An 8516-nucleotide genomic window follows, 5' to 3' on the forward strand; every position below is an offset into this window, starting at 1 on the left:
AGGGCTGGCTTCAGATTATTGTTATAGCTTTAAATAAAAGGACCGTTTTGTCATCTCGGCCCATGGCCTACATTATTTCTTTACTGTCCATTGCCCTGGGCGCTTGACTAATAATTTAACAGCAATTTTTTTTTAAAATTTTAAATCATGATTCATCGCATTGCTGTAAGAGTAATTAGAGGTAAATTAGGGCTTGAAACTGCCTGTAGTGGGTTACTTTCTGAGATCTTAGCATAATTATCAGGTGAGAGGGTGAAGTTTTAATTAGCGCTAAGTGGGACAGAAATTCAATGCACTGAAACTACAGTGTCCAATTCAGTAGGCGCTAGCCACCTGTAACTATTGAGCACTTGAAATCCTGGCTAGTCCTAATTGAGATGTGTTGTGTTAAATATACTGGATTTTGTCATTGGAGTGGGAAGAACAGCGTAGAATATCTGCTTGATAATTTTTTATATTGATTACATGTTAAAATTATTACTATGTTTACTATTTGGGACATACTGAGTTAAGTATATTTAAAATTAATTTCACCTTTTAATGGGGCTTACTAGTACATTTAAAATTACATATGTGGCTCACATATTTATTGGACAGCACGGCTCTAGAAGTTTAGGAAGAAATAAGAAAAATATTGAGAATAGGTAGCAACAGTAGGAAGTTTGACCTCCTGTAAGACTGATTCCAATAAAACTAATAGGTGATAGTTTTAATTGGCTTTTTCCTACTAGAAAAAGTAAGTGTACTTTACATGTCTCTTTGTTCTCCCTCTTTCCCCTTCAATTTAGTGGTTAGCGTGTATTTACTATATCAGGCTTAATATTCACTAAGCAGTGTTAAGAAGACTTAGGTAAATGATTCCCTGATGAACACACTTGATTTTCAAAGCACTTTCCTAACCCATTTTTAATTGGAATAGAGTCAAAGGTAGATGGCTTATTATTAGTAATCTCATTTAAACCTCATGGAATTTTCCTGCTAAATCTCAAAGTAAACAATTTGTTATAGGCTGTTTTGTCAAGTGCATGGAAGGGACAGCATAAGACATGTGGTACTTCATTTCAAAATTGCTTGAGATGGTTTTCATTATAATCATACATTATTTGCTTCTGGTTTTCCAGAAAAGCCAGCTAAACCTGTGGTTCATTTAGATATAAATGAAATATCCTCAAAGGATTGCTCAAAGTGACTTATGCAACTTGAATATATATTTTTTTCTGTAGGGTGTTTATTCCAAATTATCTGGCCATTTGTGGCAATTTGCAGTTTTTTAGAAAACACCAAATATTTTTCAAGTTAGAGATGTTTTAATAAAAACAGTCATATTGAACTGGAAGCAGCCAAATAAAATGGTCCTTTATTTCACAGTTGAGAATTTGAAATTGGAAGGTAATTAACATATGTAAGGATGATGTATTTGCTGCCTGGCTTATAGGAATGAGCCAAGGTGTTTTTTGAGGGATGTTGTTGCTGTGTATGTCCCACCTATTTTGCTTCCTTAATGAACAATGCAAGTTTGAGACAGAAATATTTGAGAACATTTTTATCAGTTGCGACATTTTGATAGTGAACATTTTATATCTTCTGTAAACTTAAAATGTTTGCATCTTCTGTCTGCTTAAAATGTTTAATTTGTTATACCCAAATAATTTGGCTATAATTGATAATTTAATTTATCAAATTAAATTGTTTTTTTTTCCCTTTAGACTTTCTTCAGTCACATCTGAATAAATCACTTAGAAGTAAGCTAGATGTAATATAATGAAATGCTTAAAAGGGCTGTGTATCTTCATATTACACTTACAGTGACTTTCTGCTGTACCCATTATATTCTACCTGCAGCTAGTTGAGGTAAAGAGAGGGCATTTAACTGTCAAGGGGACCTGTTAGGAGACTGTAGAAATCTGGAAAATCTCTTGGGTCTTTGAGGGATTTTGGGATGCAGAGAGTGGGGCTGGGATCTCTGGCTAGGTTGGAGCCAGCCTGCATTTGTATCTTTATCTTGGAAGCAAACTTAGAATGCAGAGATAGATGTGGCCTGGATGCTGCTAACTCTAGCCAACCACTAAATCTTAAGGTGGGAGAGATGCAGGCTTTGGCTGGGTGCTAAGCTGCTGTAGCTGGTTGAATGTAGAGGTCACTATCTTTTCTGAATACTTGTAAGTAAATTAAATCATTCTCTACTCCTGTATGCCTGCCAACCAAATGGGAAATCGCTATAGAAAAGATGGCTTAAATTTTAGTCTTTGAAGTGGTTAATGCACGTTTCTGGAATCAAGATTTAATGTGGACTTGGATTGGATATTGAATATTTTTGATTTGTCTACTTTTCTCTCCATAGGGAGCTTATAGCTTCATTGCACTGTGTGTGACATTTGGGTCCTGTTTGGCAGCAATGACTGCCTTTCTGTTTAGTGTCTGTGTGCTATGAAGATTGCACACAGGGGTCCAGATGCATCCTGTTTTGAGAATGTTAATGGATACACCAGCTGCTGCTTTGGATTTCACCCATTGGCGGTTTCTATAAAAACTTTAGACACAGTGAGCCACTCTTCTCACGGAATGGTGGAAACCCTCCCAATTCCAATTTCCTAAACACCAGCCAAGGGCCAGCCTTGCATGCAGGCCTTTCTAAGGATGGCAGTCTCTTGCCTGTTATATGAAATCTTTTCTGCACACTTTGTATAACCCCAACTTAATTTTTGGTGTTGTTTTAAAATTTCATTTTAATAACATAATATTATAAGATAAGGTAACTTGGTACTAATTTCTGTTGTATGATCCATCTTAAGTTGCAGCGCTGGTTACTTTTTTGACTTTCAGTGACGAACAGCTATTTGTACATAAGTTACCATAGCAATTTAGGTAATTATAATCTGTCCTATTTATCTCATTTACCTTTCAGTAAAATTGTTAAATAAGCAAAATAATTTCTGAGTTAAAATTAGAATAAAAATTGTCTTTTATTTGGATTACATGAATAATCTAGTTTTCATATTGTGCTAAAGCCCTGCTTAGAATTATGAAATAAGATAAAATATTCAATCATTTTTATCAATATTTTCTTACCTAAGCATGCAATTAAATTTATTTATTTTATATACTTCAATTTGAGAAATAATGACCACATGTTGTTACTTTGGTCTTCAATGATCTCTAATTTTTAGGGTCGCCATGTCTTGCTTAAATATATCATAGTAACAGGTTCAGTGAATATCTTTATTTTTAATTTTATTTACTTATTTTTTTTTGAGACAGAGTTTTGCTCTTGTTGACCAGGCTGCAGTGCAATGACACAATCTTGGATCATTGCAACCTCCACCTCCCAGGTTCAAATGATTCTCCTGCCTCAGCCTCCCAGGTACCTGGAACTACAGGCATGCACCATCATGCCCGGCTAATTTTTTATATTCAGTAGAGATGAGGTTTTACCATGTTAGTCAGACTGGTCTCGAACTCCTGACCTCAGGTGATCCACCCACCTCAGCCTCTCAAAGTGCTGGGATTACAGACTTGAGCCACTGCCCCCAGCCATCTTTTTTATTTATTTATTTTAATTGTTGTTCTGGAAATCCTGGGATGCATAGACAGTGAATATCTTTTTTGTTTTTTGAGACAGAATCTCACTCTGTCTCCCAGGCTGCAGTGCAGTGGTGCTATCTTGGTTAACTGCAACCTCTGCTTTCTAGGCTCAAGCGATTCTCCTGCCTCAGCCTCCCGGGTAGCTGAAATTACAGGTGCCAGCTACCATGCCCAGCTAATTTTTGTATTTTTATTAGAGATGAGGTTTTGCCATGTTGGCCAGGCTGGTCTTGAACTCCTGACCTCAGGTGATCCACCCACCTTTGCCTCCCAAAGTGCTGAGATTACAGGCATGAGCCACTGAGCCCAGCTGAATATTTTTTTTTAAATCAATAACCTTATTTCTTAGAGTAGTTTTAGGTTCACAGCAAAATTGAGAGGAAGGTACAGAGATTTCTCATATATCCCATGCCTCCCACACACGCATAGCCTCCCCCATTATTAGTATTTTCCACCAGAGAGTGGTCCATTTGTTACAACTGATGAACTTACATTGACACATTATAATCACTTGAAGTTCATAGTTTACATCAGGCCTCACTCTTGATGCTGTACATTCTGTGAATTTGGACAAATATATAATGACATGACATGTATCTATTACTGTAATATTATCGACAGAACAGTTTCACTGCCCTAAAAATTCTCTGTGCTATGCCTGTTCATCTCTCCCTTTCTCCCTAGCAACTCGTGACAACCATTGATGTTTACTCTGTCTTCATAGTTTTACTTTTTTCAGAAGAGTCATATAGTTGGAATAAGAAGAGTGGATATCTTTTTGAGTAGTTAAAAAATTAAAGCTCCATGGCAGTTGAATGTAGTCATTTAAGATGTTCTTTGTCCTTTTGTTTTTCTTTTGCTTCTTTATCATTGTAAAGAATGATGTATTCTGATGAGATATGATTTACATACTTAGAAAACATGATTTGTATAGATATGTGGCACATAATAGAAAGGGTTGAGGAAAAGGACACCACGCCGTACTACACAGCACAACCTGGAGCATCTTGCTCTGTGAGGTGGGTCCAGATAGACTCTTTAGCAATGGAAGAGGACAAGTGCAAAGTGTTGTGCTTTATAAAACTGGAATCACAAAGTCTTTCATACTTACCTTCGGTTGGAAATAAGACCAGGCAGTGAATGCTATTAGGTAAATACATAAGTTCCTCACTGATCCTCTTCCTTTGAGGGATGAGGTTGACAACAGCCTGTATTATGATGGCATGACTCACCTACAACTAGATTCTGTCATGAGAGATGACAAGGGAGTTTTGCTTTATGCGAGGTGAAAAAATTTTTTTCTCCTACTAGGGAGATGGGCAAACATTAGAACATTCTGGTAGTAAAAGGGCATTGATAGTTTCCTTTCTATATATTTTTTCACATCAGATAATATTGCCCGGCAGCCTGCCATACCTCCCCAGTGTTTATTCAGCTTCTCTCTGAATGTGGATAAGCTCTTAAAGGAGTGATCTTTCCAGTGGTTCTTTCTGTGGGAGGTAAAATGGCAGGTGAATTTGGGGCTTGTTATACGTAGGCCAGAGCAAATAGCTACAACTAAGGAAACCACCCAGCACCTTACCCAGAAGAGTATTAGCCAGAGTAACACACTGATCTCTCTTGAGATCTTCTCCACTGGTGGCTGGAAAGTATTTGCAAGGATTCCTGTTTCTGGTCTGATTCCTATGTTTTGTTGGTTTCTGGCGATAGCATGTTTTATTCTAAACTAAACAGTTTGATCTGAAGAGCTAGAGAGGCTGTGTGGTGTTATAACAAAATAAGTGCAGTAACTACACCTTAACTGTGGGAGATACATTTCAAGACCCCCAGTGCATGCATGAAACCATGAATATTACTGAATCACAAGCTGTTTTTCCCTATACATACATATCTATGACAAAGTTTAATTTATAAATTAAATTAAATCTGATGTTATCTGTAGATAGGGTGTGAGAATTGAATTGTGTCATCAGCAGGAATGATTGCTTGTTTGTTGGTGGGGAAAAACTCTCCACACATTTGGTTACAGAAGCCTTCTTTGTTGATGATTGTTGCTGTGGTGTGACAGCAGAGAAAAACGTGTCAAGTATGTCTTTCTGCGCATATAGTGGATAAGGGGTACTAGTGTATACTCTGTTGTAATGGCCCCTCATATTTTGGTCCAGAAATCATGCTCTTTGACACTGTTGACTCATCACACCTGTTCTGCTAACAATACCATTTTTACTCAATCTCATAGGCTTTGGCTAGGATGACTTGTATACTTCAGTTCACTTGTAGATACCAAATTTTAATAAATTTATTCTTCTTTGCATCTAATAAATACAGAGGGAAGAGTTCTTACTGCATTAATTACCTACCAATACTTATAATGAATGTTAATTCTAATAAGTTCCCAGGCATGCTCCCAAAGGAATGCTTTGTAACAAAACGTCAGTCTTATGCTTTAAAAAACCAAACCAAACCAAAACAACAACAACAACAAAAAACAGGATCTAAAGCATACACACAAGTGTGCACAATTTTTTTATGAAGGTAGAGTCTTACTATGTTTCCCAAGCTGGTCTCAAACTTCTGGGCTCCTCAAGTGATCCTCCTGCCTCATCCTCCCAAGTAGTTTGGATTAGAGGCATGCATCACTGTGCATTCTTATGATTTTAATATTCTGTACATTTATTATTGATTTAAAATGCATTTTACCTTTTTCTTTAATAGATGTTGGAATTTCTGATGAATCTGCAGTCAGGTAAGATTTCATAGATTTAAAAAATTATGTTAACTAAGAAAATATAGATGGAAGAAACTAATATCTGTTGAGTGTTGTATTCTGGGCTAGACATCCTAATATGTTCTATGCATTTATCATCTCATAAAGCCATCATAACATCTGTGTTCCTATAACCTACTGTTAAATAAACAACTATGGATTAGAGCTGATTAATTGCCTCATGATCCCATAGTTAACAAAGTAGCTGGCCTACAGTTTGACCATCAGCCTGCCTGCCTTCCAAATCCTTTCTCTTGCTCCTCAGCATAGATTGATAGATATCTGTGCAGCCCTTGGATCATAGTATAGGTCTGAATCAGATCAATCAGATTCATTAATTTGATTAACTTCTAAATTAATGAGAGTTTAAATACCTTGAACTCTCATTTAAGTTTATTGTTAGAATGTGGTTAGTCCTAATAAATTTGACGATTTCAGTGTAACCAGTATCTTATTTTTACCTTCAAAGGCTCTAGGGCAGATCTGACTTAGCTTTGGCCATAGGACTGTAAGTTTTACCAAAGCAAGTTTAGGCAAGTCTTAGAGACAAATTATTTGACTTCACAGTTTGGCTTTCCATTTAGGCAAGTATTTCTGCTTACTTCCATAATACATTTTTTAGTCCTGTTGCTTTTTCCATGACTTTTATATAATCTTGTCCTCATTTTTTAAAACTTTCTTCTCTGTTTTTCTTGGTGTTTCTTTTGTTCTATTATTTTTTCAAACTCTGCTGCCTATGTATTCCAAGTTTTTCTATAGACAGAATCAAGAGGACATAGAATTACAGAATTTTAAGGAATCTTGGAATGAATTAAAATACCTTCTAGTATTTTTCTCTGCGTTGAACATTCTGGTCAAGTGATTCTCTAGATAGAGAATGTGAGGCTCAAAGAGATTACGAAGCTTTTTTTTAGACATAGGAATTGGCAGAAATGAGATTTGAACTCATGGTAAAGCCCAGTACTCTTGCTTCTTTCTATGTCCTATTAGCGTGTGTTTTAATAATACAAACGGGAGTGAGTCTGTGGATAGAATGAGAATGGAATTAGCTGGTGAACCCAATGGAAGTAGATAAGAATGGAATGAGCAGGGGAAGTCCAAGTTTGAAGATAAACAACACTGGATTGGATAGGAGTACGGACTCTTCTACAAGAGATCAAAGTATTGGGGTTTATGACAAGTTTGATAAAGATAAATTATAAAAATGAAGGACACAAGATGTTGGGAATTATCTACAAAGGCACATTAAAATAGAAGGTTCAAGGGAGCTCTAAAAATTTTGCTGCTTTTTTTTTTTTAAATCAAGGACTGACAAACTTGAAGATTTTTACTGAAAGATGCCAAAACATTTTGAGACACTGGGAAGAATGTCTACAGCAGATAGAAATGTGGTGTCATCTACTTCCATCCTGACTTACAAAGGGGTGGCTTAGAGCCCCTGGAGTACTAAGGGGATGGAAATTGCTGAACTACATAGATGTGTGGCACAGGGCAGGTGTCTCCTCACCTCTGCCTCTTTTCACAGTTCACTGATGTCCTTCCCATGTCCATGTGGGCTGGGTCAGGGGCATGATTAGCTGGAAAATCAGTCATGGAGTTCAGTTGGGTAGTTGGTAGTGTGTATAGCTGGTGGCAGGTGATGGAGACTCCAGTTAGCTTGTTTTTCAGGAGCAGGGATATAGAGAGCTCCTACTCCTGGTCATTTGAGGCCATTCTTTCAGGAATCTGTGCTTTCATACACTGAAGATTTAAAGATTGGAGACTTCTGTGGAACCCTGCAGAAGTAGAATCTGGAAGTGGGTGTCCATAGGAAGAAATATACTTAGATAGTACTTAGGGAAATAGAGGTACAACTATCATGACTCTGTTTCTTTTCTGGCAGTCTCTCTCCTTGGGTGTCTGAGTGCCTATGAAAATTTTTAAGGGATTGCTAGTTTATGTGGACCTGAATAAGGTAGGACCTATAGAGTGAAAATAATGGGATTTTATAATTGTGAATATTTTAATCTTTCTGGGAAAAGTATTCTCAATAAGAACATACATCTTTGCTATTTGACTTCTGTACATTTAGCTTTCATACATTTCAAATATTGTGGGGGTTTTCCTGTACCAATTTAGGGTAAAGGAAAGCAATAGGACCTTCCTAAGTTGGATCCATGCTGAGGAA

Source organism: Homo sapiens, chromosome 21 (assembly GCF_000001405.40).
Source record: "Homo sapiens chromosome 21, GRCh38.p14 Primary Assembly".
Classification (NCBI taxonomy): Eukaryota; Metazoa; Chordata; class Mammalia; order Primates; family Hominidae; genus Homo; species Homo sapiens.